General features: G+C 38.2%; 1 protein-coding gene across 26 annotated transcripts in view; it reads right to left on the bottom strand.

The window, feature by feature from the left end:
- DMXL1 (Dmx like 1) overlaps nt 1–18,396 on the bottom strand; it is a 178,101-nt gene that overhangs the window by 140,918 nt on the left and 18,787 nt on the right. For 21 of the 26 annotated variants that reach the window (NR_170867.1, NR_170868.1, XM_011543213.3 and 18 more), the window contains 3 exons: nt 10,106–10,231; nt 6,204–6,275; nt 2,952–3,030 (listed from right to left, as the gene is read on the bottom strand). Coding sequence is in view for 20 of the 26 variants with exons in the window: in XM_011543213.3 (XP_011541515.1) it covers nt 2,952–3,030; nt 6,204–6,275; nt 10,106–10,231 (277 nt within the window). In the remaining 6 variants the exon portion in view is untranslated. Of the gene's footprint in view, nt 1–2,951; nt 3,031–6,203; nt 6,276–8,793; nt 10,232–18,396 lie in introns of those variants that run through there. The other 5 variants (NR_170869.1, XM_017009146.2, XM_011543214.3 and 2 more) reach the window with 5 other exon arrangements.

The raw sequence follows: 18,396 nt of genomic DNA, 5'->3' as shown, positions 1-18,396 counted from the left end.
TAAATTTTTTGAAGAGACAGGGTCTTGCTATGTTGCCCAGGCTGGTCTCAAACTCCTGGGCTCAAGCGATCCTCCCAACTCAGCCTCCCAAACTGCTGGGATTACAGGTATGGGCCAGCATGCTTCGCCCTCGTTTTCTTGTTTCAAAAGGAAAGTGGATCTCTGGCATAGACTTTAGATCAGAAATCCCTGTGTCTAAATCCCAAGTAAGATGCTTAATTAGCCATGTGAATTTGATCTAGTTGGGTAATTTCTGAACTTCAATTTTCTCATCTATAAAATTTGAGGTTTAAATACAGTTGTTGTAAGGATTAGCTATATAATATGCACAAAGTCTCTAGCACAGGCCAGGCACTAAGCAGAAGCTCAATAAATAGTAGAGCAACTAGACAGAAGGTTTCATAGACAGGGGCCAAAAAAAAGCACAAGAAGTAATGAAACATTCCATTTAAATATGTTGATTATTCCACTTTTGAACTTACCAACAGATACAACTTTTCTTTTGCTTAATATAAACTGAAGATAACATTAAGATATCCCATAAAAGATTAAGAATTTAATACAGAATATAAACTTAATCCCAGGTATGGAATGGAACAAAAGTAGGTAAGATATAATATGGTATACTGATTTCAAACTCTAAGAATTAGATATTACAGATATTAAATTACAGATATTAAAGCAGGATATTATGGATAGTAAAGCAGGAAAAAAGCATAAAAAGTCTAAAACAGAAAATCTTATGAATTAGGCAACATAAAATATTAAATTTGGACACAAAAGAAAGGCATTAATCAGTTTACCAATAGTTTTATATCTCTCTCTGATGACTTCTATGTCTCAAAGATAACTTTTCTTTTTTTTTTTCTGAGACAAGTTCTTGCTCTGTCACCCAGGCTAGAAAGCAGTAGCACAATCATGGCTCACTGCAGCCTCAACCTCCTGGGCTCAAACAAGCCTCCCACCTCAGCCTCCTGAATAGCTGAGACCTCAGGTGCCAGCCACCAAGCCTGACTAACTTTTCAAAAATTTTTTTGTAGAGATGGAGTCTCCCTATGTTGCCCAGGCTGGTCTCAAACTCCTGGGCTCAAGCAATTCTCCCCACTCAGCCTCCTAAAGTGCTGATATTACAGGTTTGAACCACCGTGCCCAGCCCCAAAGATAACTTTTTATGTTCTAGATTCAAATGTCTATATATTGCTTTATGATATACAAGCTTCTCAAGGTCCACATATCCAATTAATACCTTATGTTCCACTACCTCTAACTCCTACATATTACTCTTTGTGTGGTCATAGATACTCTCAAAGTAATTTCAAATCCAGTTGTTAAGTAATGTCAATTCTACTGCCTAAACACATTTCATATCCATGTATACCTTTCACTATTCATTAATTCATTTAATATTAATTGAACACCTACTATGGAAAAGGCATTGAAATAAGTTCTTATTTCTCATCCAGACTAATGAGAATACAACCTCTCCAAAGGTCACTCCTTCTCCTGTTCCATTTGCCACTGACCCTTCTAACTCACTGCTAGCAGACAAATCTCGCAAAACCATAAATCTTGTATGACTAGCCTCTTTTGAAAACCTATAGTTTTTAGACAACCATAAAGAATTAAATTCAAATTTTTAGCATGACTTTAAAGGTCTCCTATAACATGGTAAGGTCTTATCTCCTTACCACCACTGAGACTCAGCCCAGTGAAATACTAATCCTTATTATAATGTATCTTATGCTTTCTCTCTCTGTGCCTTCCCTCACTTTCGTAGAATGGTAAAAATGGCTCCCAATAAATTATGTCTCTCTGTGTTGATGCCTCCATGTAATATGACTTTGCCATATCTTTCATCAAGAGGGGGAGTCTATGTCTCCCAACCCTTAATATTAGCTGGACCTGTGACCATATAATGTGGCAGCAATAACATTCTGGGACTTCCTTGCAGCTTCTACTTTCACTCTCAGAATGCAGCCACCATGTAAAATCCAGGCTGCCCTGCTACAGAGGGCCACAGAAGAGGCCATGTGGAGGAGAACAAAGGCATTCCAGTAGATAGCAAGCAGCAAGGCCCAGATATGTGAACAAAGCCTTTCTTGGATCTTTTAGCTGCAGATAAACTGCTTCAGTCACTACCACATGGAACAATAGACAAGCCATTCCCACAGAGTCTTCCTGACCAAAAGAATCATAAGCAATAAAATGATGGATGTTTTAAGCCATCCATCATTTTGGAGGATGCTTTTCTAATGCAGAAATAGATAACTGATACATATATTCATTATATTTTCTTCCTTTTTTTTTTTTTTTTGAGACAGTTTCACTCTTGTTGCCCAGGCTGAAGTGCAATGGCATGAGCTCAGCTCACTGCAACCTCCACCTTCCAGGTTCAAACGATTCTCTAGCCTCAGCCTCCCAAGTAGCTGGGATTACAGGCATGCGCCACTATGCCCAGCTAATTTTTTGTATTTTTAGTAGAGACAGGGTTTCTCCATGTTGGTCAGGCGGGTCTTGAACTCCCAACCTCAGGTGATCTGCCCACCTCAGCCTCCCAAAGTGCTGGGAATACAGGCGTGAGCCACCACGCCTGGCATATATTTTCTTAAATTTCACTTTTTTCCTGTTCCATCTACCCAACTCTCATTGCTAAAGTCTGTTTACTCTCAGGTCCAAAGGCTCCTTTTCAATGAAACGTTAATTCTCCAGAGAAATATCTCTTTCCAAAAACAATGGGTATCCTATTATGGCACTTAGAACATTCTCTCATTTCTTACAGTGCATATCTGTCTTCATTTCAGTATAAACTCTAAAAGGGCATAATCCATTTTACTTCTTTGGTATTCCCCACAACCTCACACCCAGCAGAAGTGAAATACATAAGAGTAATAAAAATAAGAACAACTAGGCAAGTGATATTTCATTTTAGTTAATCCTGCTTATTTTCTTACCTGTGGGATCCCAGGTTATATTGTGTGCTATTGATTCCAGAAAAAATTGGCCACTTTTCTGCCACTGACTATATAATTCCTAAAATTAAGAAAAGTCATTTAGCCCATTATGATTGGCATATTTTCTCTGTCAAATGTGTACGTTTATGCTTGTTATTCTTACAATAACACAGGCAGTCAATTTTAAAGATAACAAAATGTTCAGTTCAGTCAACAAAAATAGAGAACACATGATAAAGAAGGTATGTGAGAGAATATCCATAACTGGTGGTCAAAATGCTATCTTTAGTATAAACAATCAATAACCATACGCTACCTTGGATAACAGTCTTAATAGCCTCAGATTTAATTATTACTTTATTATTACAGTTAAAAAGTTAATTTTAAATGTGTCTGTGGCTTTACTATTTGACATTTCCTTCTCTTTTACTGTTTTGTCCCCATCTGAGATCATAATAGTATGTGGGAAAATTCAGAATAAAAGATGTAACATTTTGATACTACTATATAATTTATGGCCTTACAACTTCTTAAAGCGAAATTTTTCCCTTTTTTTCTGCCTGCAAATCAGTAAGAAATACACAATGTATGCTGACCCAGAACACACACACATACAAATAAATATAACCTATGTTTGTCCTTATTACATGTGACATACTCTGATATTTTCTCTATTTCATTCTCTTTTTAAATTCGGGTTGTGGCCTACACTAAGTTGAGTTCACAGCCCAATTACAGATTGAGATTCATACTCTCTTAATGTGGTGGCTCTCAAACTTTGGTACAACAAATAATAGCCTGAGATGTTACTAAAAATTCAAATTTCCGAGACCTGTGCCCAAAAATTCAGGTTCAAAAGCTTCAGGATGGGGCACAGAAACCTGTACTTTAACACCCCAGGTGATTTTGACATAGGTGACCTACAGAATATGCTTTCATGAAACACTGCCTTGCAGGAATGTCTTTCAATCACAGTACATACCAGAACCCTCTCTAGAACAAGACATATAAGTGCATAGACACAATCCCACAGCTACAGATGTAGAAATTCCCAGAGCAGGATTTGGGCACATGTATCCAATGGTAGTTGTGATGTGCAACTCTCATGAAGACCACCACCTCACAAGAATACTCCATAATATACAAAGAAAAGGAAAGAATATATTTTTACAAGGATCTAAACATTCTGAAACTATATTTTAGAATCATAGATTTTATACATCTTTCAAGTCTATAACTTCACCATTTGATCCACTTTTGCCCTTCTTCATCAAGTTTTTTATTGTCCTTTCTGCAAAGTCAGTGCTGATAAGCCAATAAACCAGCCTCTTTTTGAGTTTTATACATTACATTCATCAATTATAATTAGGAAAGGAGAAAATGGGCAAACATTGAAATTCTCTATTCTATCCTTCCCAATAAAGGCATTTTAACATAACATACTGATTTTCAAAAGCTACTTATTTTATTTAATAAATATTTATTGAGTACTGAAATACACTGTTCTGGGCTGGGTGGGGTAATCGCCTTAAAAAATTCTTTTTAGTACTGCCAATTACTAATTCTTAAGGCTTTAAGAGGCTCAAATAGTGGATTCACTAGGCAATCTATAAAAACAAATAGAAATCAGAAGTGTGAACACTATTTCTATGAAATTTAAAGATAAATATCAATTAACTCAGAAAATAGTTTTCATTAACACAAGGTAAGGAAAGAACACTCACACCTAGGAATCAATACAGATGGTTTTACTCTTAGTTCTGTGGCTTAACAGCTGCTTCACTTGTCAAGTCACTATATTCTTTGAGCCTACTCTACTGCCTTATTCATAAAAAGAAGAAATAATGGCTGCACAAACTAGGTTTGAAGTAATTTGTAAAATACTAATGAGCTAAGTGAAGATGACATGAAAACTATCAAAAGATATATAAAGGTATGTCTGCTATTAAAACAGTTTAGTCCTTTATAATTAATACATTCCTAAACCATCTTTGACATGTTAGCCTAATAATATTCCCATCAAGACTGAATAGATAGTAATCAATTTGAGAGTTAAGCAAAGAATTTCTTAAGGCTGACTTACCTAAGACCAACTAGCTAGATAGACCCAGAAATAGAAACCAGTCCTATGACTCCCAATACACTGCTCTTTCTTTTTTTTTAAAAAAAAAAAAAATCTTTTAATTTTAGGTTTGGGAGTACCTGTGAAGATTTGTTACATAGGTAAATTCGTGTCAAGGGATTTTCTTGTACAAATTATTTCATCACCCAGGTATTAAGCCCAGTACCCAATAGTTATCTTTTCTGCTCCCCTCCCTTCTGCCACACTCCACCCTCAAGTAGACCTCAGTGTCTGTTGTTTCCTTGTGTTCATAATTTCTCATCATTTAGCTCCCTTACACTGCTCTTTCAATGACACTACACTTATCTTCTTTCAGACGGTTTGCTTTTATTTTTATTTTTAGAGACAGGGTCTCACTGTGTCACCCTGGCTGGAATGCAGTGGTGCCATCATTGCTCACCACAACCTCAAATTTTTGGGCTCAAACGATCCTCCCATCTCAGCCTCCTGAGCAGGTGAGACTATAGGCATGTGCCACCATGCCTGGCTAAACTTTTTTTAAAATCTTGCCCAGGCTGGTTTCAAACTCCTGGCCTTATGCAATCCTCCTGCCTCAGCCTCCCAAATAGAGAGGATTACAGGCACAAGCATTAAAGAACCTATAAAATCTGCTAACATGATTCGAATATTTATAAATTATTGGGTAACCAGTTTTCAGAACTATTTCTGAGTACAGCTTGCTTATAAAGAAAAACATTCATTGACCTGTTAACGACTGTATTACATGATCTAAATAATGCAAGAAAGTTAAGCCCTGAAGAGGCAGAAAACCTGTATAAAGGTAGATTATAAAACAAAGGAAAGAGTACCACATATGGCTGGACAACGGTATTTGATACTAGCAATAAAGTAGTGCCAAACTTTAGGTTACTGACTCTTGAAATATTATAAAATTAAAAATGTCAGAAATAAAATAATAAAGCATTTCAACAATTCATTGGCACAATTTATTTTAGTTCTATTCCAATGAAAAATTTAAATATATTTTTAACATCAAAATGGAATTTAACATGTAGGTTCAATTACAGTATATAAGTAATACCGATTTACTCAATGATCACTCTGATTTTACACTCTTTCAATACTTAAAACATTTCAATTCCTAAAAGAAGAAATCATAAATTACTGACCAAATTTTTCTTTTGTTTTGGTAGGTTAACTGGTTCAAAAATGGAGATAACATTTCCATAAGACGCTGCAATCTTTTAAAAAGAAAAAAAGAATTTATTAGGGATATGTTAACTTACTTATGAATCAAAAAAAGCAAAGAAATGAATACTATAACTTTAAATATGCCAATACACACAATTTCATTCACTGATGCTTAAGAATGTCAGTTTTGAAGACTATCACATCTGCATTAGAATCCTAGAACTGCAACTTACTACGTTAACTAGCAACTTAATCTCTCCAAACGTTAGTTTCCATTACAGTGTTCATAATATGTACAACACTACCTTCCTAACAGCATTGAGGGTTGAAATAACATTTGTAAAACACCTAACATATAATAAGTGACATACAATATGCACAGTAAATGTTAATTGTCGTCATCCATCCTCTAAATTGACAATTCTGTCAGTGTACATTAACTTTTCAAAAATATAACTTAGGTCTATTCCTCTGGAAACTCCCTGAGTACATTTTAAAACATATTCTATTTTATCCTTTGAATTTACTCTTTAAATTGATGGATCATAACCTTTCCTGGCTCTGTTTTATAAGGTAACTACTACTATAACTTGAGTGAGTCTCATATAAAGAACATCAAAATATTGGAAATCAAACAGAGAGAGAGATTAAATGAATGAATCAGGGATAGAAAAAAAAACATATGATGTAGTAAAGAGAAGGTAAGAAATGAGGACACAACAAACATGGAGAAAAAACTGTGAATGGATATTTTAAGGCTTCTGAATTCTTAGGATATAGATATCACTTGTGCTGCATTGATCTGGAGGAAGTGTTTAGTTTGGGCCTTTAATTATGGGTGGGATTTCAAAAAGCAGTGAGTATTCAACTTTATAAATAGGGCATAGTATGAAAACAGGTGTAAGGCCGGCCGCGGTGGCTCACGCCTGTAATCCCAGCACTTTGGGAGGCCGAGGCGGGAGGATCATGAGGTCAGGAGATCGAGTCCATCCTGGCTAACACGGTGAAACCCCGTCTTTACTAAAAAATACAAAAAAAAATTAGCCGGGCGATGGCAGGCGCCTGTAGTCCCAGCTACTCGGGAGGCTGAGGCAGGAGAATGGCGTGAACCCGGGAGGCGGAGCTTGCAGTGAGCCGAGTTCACGCCACTGCACTCCAGCCTGGGCGACAAAGTGAGACTCCGTCTCAAAAAAAAAAAAAAAAAAAAAAAAAAAGAAAACAGATGTAAAGATTAAAAGAGGCAATGTATGTTTAGAGGTGAATGACCACCATCCCACCAAGAAGAGAGTGCTCCTTATAACACAATAGTGTACCTGAGACTAAAAAGGCAGATCTGAGCCAGGTTGTAAAAGGCCTCACACCAAGGTGAACAATTTGAACTTTTCCAAGGTAATGGGCTAAGAATACTTTGAAGCTGATGAATAAAAGGATAAATGAGGATTAATTTTCTCAGAAAAATGAATTAGGTGGTAGTACAGTACAAAGAAAAAAACAGTAATAATAAAAATACAGGTGCCTATGACATTTCCTTCTTTTTTTTTTTTTTTATGAGACGGAGTCTCACACTGTTACCCAGGTTGAAATGCAGTGGCACGATCTCAGCTCACTGCAACCTCTGCCTCCCGGGTTCAAGCGATTCTCCTGCCTCAGCCTCCTGAGTAGCTGGGATTACAGACGCCCGCCACCACGCCCAGCTAATGTTTTTTTTTTTATTTTGTAGTAGAGACGGGGTTTCTCTATTTTGGCCAGAATGGTCTTGAACTCCTGACCTCATGATCCACCTGCCTCGGCTTCCCAAAGAACATTTCCTTCTTAAATGTAAACAGTCAGAAGTCCCCAGGTACCAGAACCTGCCAATTTTCTTCCTGATACTTTAAGGAACCACTATGATAATACTGATATCTGTAAATGAAGAAAATATTTCTTCATTAAATGATTATAAAACCAAATGACTTCTTAATTCCTCTTTTTGTTTTTCTTTGTAGAGATGGGGTCTTGCTTTGTCACCCAGGCTGCAGTGCAGTGGTGCCACCAGAGCTGACTGCAGCCTGGAACTCCTGGGCTCAAGTGATTCTCCCGCCTCAGCTTCCCGGGTAGCTAGGACTACAGGAGCATACTACCATGTCCGGCTATTTACTTATTATTTTTATTTTTGTAGAGACAGGGTTGCCCCAAGCTGGTCTCAAACTTCTGGTCTCAAGCGATTTGCCCACCTTGACCCTCCTAAAGCTCTGGGATTACAGGCATGAGCCACCACACATGGCCATGATTTCTTCATTCTAACCTGGACTGTCATATAGTCTATCACAAAAAGATAGCTCATATTGGAAAGTATTAAATTATATTTTTAACATTAACCAGCTCCATGTGAGTCCAGATGGTATTAAGCAAGTTTTTATACAGTTAAGAAAGATTACAGAACAAAAGAGCTAGAAGATCAAACAAACATGAAGAGAATGAAAATAAAAATCTCAAGGATAGGCTGGGCGCAGTGGCTCACGTAATCCCAGCACTTTGGGAGGCCAAGGAGGGCAAATCGCTAGGTCAGGAGATTGAAACCAGACTTACCAACATGATGAAACCCCGTTTCTACTAAAAATACAAAAATTAGCCGGGTATGATGGCGAGCACCTGTAATTCCAGCTATTTGGGAGGCTGAGGCAGGAGAATTGCTTGAACCCGGAAGCCAGAGGCTGCAGTGAGCTGAGATTGCACCACTGCACTCCAGCCTGGGCAACAAAGCGAGACTCCATCTGAAAAACAAAAAACAAAACAAACAAACAAAAACAAACAAAAAACAAAAAAAAAACCCAAAGATTTCCAGCATTCCATAATAAAGATCATTTTTGTTGTACAGCGAGAAGTCATAAGAGGCCTCAACAAAAGATAGAGGACACCTGTAACTATATTAAAGGGAAGGAATACCATGTAACAAAAAGAACAGTAGTCCAACAAATATGTAAAGATTCAGAAAACAGAAACTCGTTTTATAATTAATATCTTTAAGTCCCAGATGGCAACTTTTAATCCTAGAAAGTTTACCTCAAATGAAGATTAGATTTAAAAACAAATGATTGGGTCCATGGACTCTTAATATGACCATTTTGATTCCTTACACAAAATGTTCTAGTGGAATCATATGAGTGTATTTGCGAAGTTCAGTCCAGTCTAGCTACAACTATATATAGGCCTTACCACCTATGCCTATATGGAGTTATTTTAAGCTATATATTATGCTGCCTTGCCTAGTAGTATGACTTTCTCATTCTGGTACTACAGGAACTGTATTTAACCTGATCTAGAAGAATTTTATACTTTGTTACTTTTGTTTATGTTGTTGCTATTTTACTTTCAAGGTTACCTTTCTACTTTTCATATGCAAATAGAAGTCCAGATAAAGTTTTTCACTTTTCTTATGGGCTTAGAATATTATAAACTCTCAAAGAGTTTTTCATTTCCACAAAAAGTTACACAGCCCTTGTTACATAGAAGTTACAAGGAGATAACTACCTGTTCACAGACAAAAAAAAAAAAATATTCTAAATCATTTCCTTTAGTTTATTTGTAAATATTGAAGATTCATTGTTACTCCTTTCCCCCAGTCCAATCACCTTTTAAATACGTAAGCTTTAGACTCATTCTATATCAGTAAGTATTGTATTTCTTTCTCAGAGAAGATGATGCTATAATTTAAAATTATATAAGAAGAGAATTTCTGGCACTCTATAGAATGCATCTTAGACAGCCAAAAATTCTTCTAGCTACACTATCTTTGAAACAAAGCCAAGTCTCTAATTCAATAGGAAATACACACTTCAGAGATTATCCTGACAAAAACCATATTCCAAACAAATTTGTATATTAGAAGAAGATTACAAACCTTGCCTTGTTGCATTGAACAGTCTACACATCCCACTTGAATATTTCCATGTTTAGCTCCTGGGATTATCTGTAATCTTTCAAAATCGCTTCCCAGTATTACAATGTCACATCCAGATGCATAAGCCTAAAAAAATAAATAAATAAAAATGATAAAAGTGTCAAGGAAACATTTACCATGTAGAATACTAGTATTAACTATCATGTTTTAAGGCAGGGAGAATAAATGTTTTAAAAGACCAATTTTAGGTGTTTTCTTAAAAAAAAAATCTACATTTGGCACTATTTCCCTTACCTCCCCATATACAGCCTATTAGCAAATTCTGTCAGTCCTTTCTGCAAAATATGCATCAACTCTGAACTCTGTCCACTTTTTTATTTTTTCTTTTGAGATGGAGTCTCACTCTGTCGCCCAGGCTGGAGTGCAGTGGCGCAATCTCGGCTCACTCCAAGTTCCGCCTCCCAGGTTCACGCCATTCTCCTGCCTCAATTTCCTGAGTAGCTGAGACTACAGGTGCCCACCACCACGCCCGGCTAGTTTTTTGTATTTTTAGTAGAGATGGGGTTTCACCGTGTTAGCCAGGATGGTCTTGATCTCCTGACCTCGTGATCCACCCGTCTCGGCCTCCCAAAGTGCTGGGATTACAGGCGTGAGCCACTGCGCCCGGCTCACTTTTTTCATCTCCAGTGAATGCTACCACCCTTGTCTAAACTGAACCATGATCATCTCTCTCCTATTCTACTAATAGCAAACTTCCATTCTTGCCTCCCTCTAATGCATTTCCACAAAGAGTGATATTTGAAGAATGTTTACTGCACCAAGTTATTTTCCCTGCTTAAACCCCTCAACAGTTTTCCACTGCACTTGGAATAAAATCTCAACACCTTACCATGGTCAATATCCTAAATGGTGGTCCTTCTATAAACCCATCTCAGGCTATTCTTTCCTTCTCTCAGCTGGCTCTTGTTTCTGTTCCTTTTTACATCTCAAGGTGTTTATCTGCCTTTTATCTGCCTGGTCTTTTCTAGTTAGCTGCTTTCCAGCATTCAGGCTACAATTCCCAACCACTATCTCTCCCATTACTTTCTATCACATTACTGTTTATTTTCTTCACGGCATATATCACAATTTTTAAATGTCTTTTGTCCCTATCTATTATTAAAAGTTAAATTCCAAAAAGGAAGGATTCAAGTTTATCTTGTTCTCTACTCTAGTCCTCAATTCTAACACAAGGGCCTAGAATGCAGCTAATAATTTATAAGTGGAATAAATGAAGCATTTAATTTCACAAAAACAGTCATCACAACAAAAGAAAGTATACATAGCTCAAGACTTGTTGCCAAGCATTTCATAGCTCTTTTTCAATTTTACAACAGTTAGCATAACTCTCCCAACTAGAACTCTTCTTTTGTGTGTCCTTTTCCCTACCACCTTCTTTGATCACGGGAGTTTTTTCCATTACAGGGTACATGGTTGTTCTCCTAGGATTCATATTATAGACTGGCACACGTTACAACAATAAGACATCTAACACAAACTGTTTTCCAACCTGAGTTCATAAAGTTTTTATCAACTCTCTACTTGCTCCTCATTTTTGCACACGCACATATATTTAAAAATTATACTTCAGGCTGGGCATGGTGGCTCATGCCTGTAATCCCAGCACTTTGGCAGGCTGAGGCAGGCGGATCACCTGAGGTCTGGAGTTCAAGACCAGCCTGACCTACATGCAGAAACCCCGTCTCTACTAAAAATACAAAATTAGCCGGGCATGGTCGTGCATGCCTGTAATCTCAGCTACTTGGGAGGCTGAGGCAGGAGAATCGCTTGAACCCGGGAGGTGGAGATTGCAGCAAGCTGAGATCGCGCCACTGCACTCCAGCCTAGGCAACAAGAGCAAAACTCCATCTCAAAAAAAAAAAAAAAATTATACTTCATATACACCTTAATTCCTACCAAAACCAAAATTATTCTGTATACTCTATCAAAAAATATTAAAAATGGGACTTGAGAGAACATACAAATGAATGTGCTATATGGAAAAGAAAATCAAGGCCCAAATAAGTTGATAACATCTTAGTGGCAGAGTGGGGCTTCAGAACCTGATCTCTTGATTTTTGGTCTCCTGCTATTTCCATGGTACCAACAGGGGCTTCCCTAGTTAACATGCTTGCCTGGAATTTTACCTAAAAATTAGAAAGAATAATCAATTATGATTCCACTAGTTTCACAAAGTGAAAAGAACTGGCTCAAACAAACAAAAAAATCACATGATGATCTCCTCTCCTATATAAATATCCATGATGGGATCATAAGGCTTGTCATAAGACCATTAGCAAGAATAAATTCCAAAGGCTAATTTTAAGAGAAGTTGTCTTTCAAATAATTTAGAAACTAATTTTTCTCCTTGATATTAAATTTTGAGAATACTGATTGTCACTGTTTCTCAAAATATTGTGTTGAATTTTACATGTTTACAATTTAGATTTGCTCCCTTCTAAACAACATTTTCAGTTTCCTTTCAGTGGAATAAAAAAACTCATGTCTTCACAACTTCACCTTTGTTGTACCTGAAATTATCTACCTAATTTCAGATATTACGTTGCAAGTATTTTGTCAAACATGACCCAAAATTTTCCCACATCAAGTCTATACTAATTTTGAAGCCCACACAAATTACTACTTAATACAAATATTACACTTGCAGAGTTGAGAAATGTAAAGTAATCCCAGAAATAAACACTTAGTACTATACAGAGGAAAATACCAACTAATAACAATTACCACTTCATCATTCAATGACTTATCTAGTTCTGAATTACCCTTGTTCTTTTGCTGCTGCTGCATCATACTACTACTATTTGACTTTTTCTCAGCGATGGTACTAGAAGTTAACAAAGCTGTCTCCGTAGTCTTGGTAAATTTTAAATCAAATAAAATTATTGAACTTGGCTGAGCATGGTGGCTCACATCTGTAATCCCAGAACCTTGGGAGGCCAAGACAGGTGAGTCGCTTGGGTCCAGGAGTTAAAGACTAGCTTGGGCAACATGGCAAAACCAGCTCTACAGAAAACACAAAAAATTAGCTGGTTGCAGTGGCGTACGCCTGTAGTCCCAGCTACCCAAAAGGCTGAGGTGGGAGGATAACCTGAGCCTAGAAGGTCAAGGCTGTGGTGAGCATCACTACACTCCAGCCCAGGCAACAGAGTGAGACCTTGTCTAAAAATAAAAAATTAAAAAAAAAAAAAAAAAAGATTGTGCAAGTCTGCAGTTACTTCCTCTACTGAAGACTTGAACCCCTCAAAGTAATTTGTGAAGGATGAAATCAACTTCTTCCATACTCTTGGTAATGTTGATATTTTGACCTCCTCCTATGCATTGCAAATGTCCCTAATGGCATCTAGAATGGTGAAGCCTTTCCAGAAGGTTTTCAATTTACTTTGTCCAGATCAATCAGAGGAATCATTATCTATAGCAGCTATAGCCTTATGAAATAACTTTCTTAAATAAGACTTTAAAAGTTGGAAGCATTTCTTGGTTCATGGACTACAGAATGAATGTTTTAGCAAGCATAAAAACTACATTAATCTCCTTGTACACCTGCCTGATCAGAGCACAGGTCATTGTCAATGAACAGCAATATTTTGAAAGGAAATCTTTTTTCTCAGCAGTAGGTCTCAACAGCGGGCTGGAAATATTTAGTAAACTGTGCTGTATACATAGGTGCTGTCATCCGGGCTTTGTTGTTCCACTTGTAGAGCACAGGCAGACTAGGTTTAGCATAATTCTTAAAGACTCTAGGATTCTCGGCATGATAAATGGGCATGGGCTTCAACTTAAAGTTACCAACTGCATTAGCCCCTAACAAGAGTCAGCCTGTCCTTTGAAGCTTTGAAGCCAGGCATTGACCTCTCCTCTCTAGTTATGAAAGGCCTAGATGGCATCTTCTTCCAACAGAAGGCTGTTTCATCTGCTTTAAAATCTGTTCTTTCACATAGCCACCTTCATCAATTATCTCAGCTAGATCTTCTGGATAACATGCCGAAGCTTCTACATCACTCAGCGCTTGCTGCTTTACCTTGCACTTATAGGTTATAAAGATGACTTCTTTTCTTATACCTCATGAACCAACCTCTGCTGGCTTCAAACTTTAATTTTGCAGCTTCCTCACCTCTCCCAGCCTTCACGGAATTGAGAAGAGTTAGGGTCCTGCTCTGGATTAGGCTTTGGCTTAAAGGAATGTTGTGGCTGGTCTGATCTTCTAGCCAGACCACTCAAACCTTCTCCATATAAGCAATAAGGCTATTTTGCTTCCTTATCATTCATGTGTTCAATGGAGCAGAACTTTAATTAATAGTTTCCTTTGGAATTTTCCCTTTGCATTTACAACAGCTAACTAGCACAATAGGCCTAGGTTTTGGCCCATCTTGACACACCCTCCTCACTAAACTTAATCATTTCTAGCTTTTGATTTAAAGAAAGAGATGTGTAACTCTTCCTTTCTGAACACTTAAAAGACACTGTAGGGTTGTCACTATTCATAATTTCTATATCATTGTGTCTCAGTGAATAGGGAGGTCTGAGCGCAGTTCATTGGCATTCCACAACCATTACAATAGTAACAAAGATCACTGATCATCATAACAGATATAATAATAATTTTAAAAGGGGCCAGGCATGGTGGCTCACACCTGTAATCCCAGCACTTTGGGAGGCCAAGGCAGGCAGATCACTTGAGGTCAGGAGTTCAAGACCAGCCTGGCCAACATGGTGAAATCCAGTCTCTACTAAAAATATGAAAATTAGCCAGGCGTGCTCATTTGAACCCAGGAGGCAGAGGTTGCACTGAGCCAAGATCGTGTTGCTGCACTCCAGCCTGGGTGACAGAGCAAGACTCTGTTCAAAAATAATAATAAAAAAAGTTTGAAATATTTTGAGAATTACCAAAATGCGACACAGAGACACAAAGTGAGCGCATGCAACTGGAAAAATAGTGCTGACAGATTTGCTCAACAAAGGGTTGCCACAAAACTTCAATTTGTAAAAATCATAATACTTGAAGTGCAATAAGGGAAAGAGCAAGAAAACAAGATATGCCTGTATTCAAGAAAACTGAAAACATGTCCACACAAAAACCTGTACATCAATGTTCATACCAGCATTATTCATAATGGCCACAAAGGGAAACAACTCAAATGTCCATCAACTGTCAATGGCTAAACAAAATATAGTATATATCCATACAATGGAATATTATTAAGCCATAAAAAGTACTAGTAAATGCTAGAACATGGATGAACTTTACAAAAGACCACATATTTTATTATTTCACTTATATGAAATGTCCAGAATAGACAAATCCATAGAGTCAGTAAGGCAGTTGGTGCAAATAAGCAAACAAGCAATGTAAGTGGCTGTAAGATAGCAGCTGCCAGTGGCTAGGGGTAGTGGCAAATAGACAGTGATTGGTAATAGACACGGGATTTCTCTTGGGGGTGAGGAAAATGTTCTATAATCAGATTGTGGTAATACACATTGTTAATACACTAAAACCACTAAAATTTACACTTTAAAAGGGTGAACTTTATGGTATGTAAATTATATTTCAATAAAGCTGTTATTTAAAAAATAATAACTGTGGCTCCAAAAAGGTGGTGTTTCACTTGCCTCCAAAGAAAATGAAAAACAGATTCATACAACATTGCACCTGTAATCCCACCGAATCAGGAGGCTAAGGAGAAAAGATCGCTTGAGCCCAGGAGTTTGAGATCAGCCTGGGCAACACAGCAAGACCCTATGTGAAAAAAAAAGAAAAAGAATTTTTCTTAAATAAAAGAAAAAGAAAACCCAAAACAAATATACAGTGCTGAAAGTATCACCAGAAATAACCCAGAACTCACATATGAAGACAAGACAGTTCCTGGGGCCACAGGAATGAAAAAAGACAATTTTCAGAAATGAAAAAAGACAAAGAGACTTCCACATTCACAACACCCCTCCCCCAATTCTGCCCAGCACTTAGGGCACAGAAAATTTCCCCAAACATTGTTTCTACACTGGAAAAAGGGAGATTATGGTGAACAGCCAGCTTCCCCACCATATTGGGTTCTCTAGCAGAATATCTGTCCCAGCCCTAACCCATAAGAAGCATCACAAGTGCCTAAAGAAATATCTCTGAGGACAGGGAGAAACAAAGAGGGCAGGCAGTATTATTATCTGCATCCCTGAAAATAGTGCTCCATAACTCAGCCAAAGGAGATGCCACATGAGAGAGGCTGTTCAGTAGTAACACCACCCTGTAGGAGGTTTGTCCCACAGGTTTCCAGCACATGAACCCTTAGCCAGCATTCCCCCTCTGCTGAGATACCTCCTGTGGGATCTCCTCACTTTAGGAACGGCAGCCCTTTGATGGTTTACTAGAGCCAAGGTGAACCTGGACTTAAGGCAACACCTGGAGCCTAAAAAGGGGCAGTGGCTTAGCAGTGAAGAATCTCCAAGTAAAGATATCCAATATAAACCAAAACAAGCCAAAGACTAGAATAAATAACTAATCCATAAATGCAAAGACATAGGTGTGCATCCACAAGAAACAGCAGGCCAAGCACAGTGGATCACGCCTGTAATCCCAACACTGGGAGGCCAAAACAGGAGGATCCCTTGAGCCTAGGAGTTTGAAACCAGGCTGGGCAGCACAGCAAGACTTGCCTCTACAAAAAAACAAAAATAAAAACATTAGCTGGGTGTGGTGGCATGTGCCTGTAGTCCCAGCTACCAAGGAGGCTGAGATGGGAGGACAACTTGAGCTGGTAAATTAAGGCTGCAGTGAGCTGTGATCTCACCACTGCACTCCAGCCTGGGCAACAGAGCAAGACACTGTCAAATAAATAAATAAATAAATAAATGCAGCAAACAGGGAACCATGATCTCACCAAACAAAGCAAGGAACCTGACCCCAACCAGTAGGCGATATGTGAGCTCTCTGACCAAGAATTCAAAATAGTTTTAAGGAAACAACTATTCAGTCATCTCTAAGATAAGACAAAAAGCAATTCAGAAATTTATCAGAAAAAGTTAATAAACAGATTGAAATATTTTTAAAAAATCAAACAGAAATCTTGGAACTGAGAAATACATTTGCTGAACTGAAAAATTCATTAGAGGCTCTCCATAGAAGAATGGATCAAGCAGAAGAAAGAATCAGTGAGCTCAAAGACAGGCTATTTAAAAACACACAGAGGACTGCCAGGCACGGTGGCTCACGCCTGTAATCCCAGCACTTTGGGAGGCCAAGGCGGGCTGATCACAAGGTTGAGAGATCGAGACCACCCTGGCCAACATGGTGAAACCCCGTCTCTACTAAAAATACAAAAAAAAATTAGCCAGGCATGGTAGCAGGCGCCGGTAATCCCAGCTACTTGGGAGGCTGAGGCAGGAGAATCGCTTGAACACGGGAGGCAGAGGTTGCGGTGAGCCGAGATCGCGCCATTGCACCCCAGCCTGGGCAAAAAGAGTGAAACTCTGTCTCAAAGAAAAAAAAAAAAAAAACAGAGGAGAAAAAAACAAAAAAGAAAAGTAATGAAGTTGCCTACAAGATACAAAAAATTACCTCAAAAATGAAATCTAAGAATTGGCATTCAAGAGGGATTTGAACAAGAGAAAGTAGAAAGCTTATCCAAAGAAGTAACAGAAAACTTTCTAAAACTTCAGAAAAGACATAAATATCCAGGTAGACAAAGGCCAAAAAACCCCAAACAGATTTGACCCAAATAATACTAACCCCAAGTGGCCGGGCACAGTGGCTCACACCTGTAATCCCAGTACTTTGGGAGGTTGAGGCAGGCAAATCACCTGAGGTCCGGAGTTCCAGACTAGCCTGGCCAACATGGTGAAACCCTGTCTCTACTAAAAACACAAAAATTAGCTGGGTGGGGTGGTGGGCGCCTATAATCCCAGCTACTCGGGAGGCTGAGGCAGGAGAATCACTTGAACCCGGGAGGCAGAGGTTGCAGTGAGCCGAGATCTCACCATTGCACTCCAGCATGGGCGACAAGAGCGAAAGTCCTTCTCAAAAAAAAAAAAAAAAAAAAAAAAAAAAAAAAAAAAAAGACTAACCCGAAGCATAAAATAATCAAACTCTCAAAGGTCAAGGACAAAGAGAAAATCCTAAAAGCAGTACAAAAGCTGGGTGCAGTGGCTCAAGTCTGTAATCCCAGCACTTCGGGAGGCCAAGGCGGGCGGATCACCTGAGGTGTGGAGTTCAAGACCAGCCTGACCAACCTGGAGAAACCCCA

This window comes from Homo sapiens, chromosome 5 (genome assembly GCF_000001405.40).
Source record: "Homo sapiens chromosome 5, GRCh38.p14 Primary Assembly".
NCBI classification, from domain to species: Eukaryota; Metazoa; Chordata; class Mammalia; order Primates; family Hominidae; genus Homo; species Homo sapiens.
The sequence above is the reverse complement of the archived record's forward strand: the minus strand, read 5'-3'. Positions and strand labels throughout refer to the sequence as shown.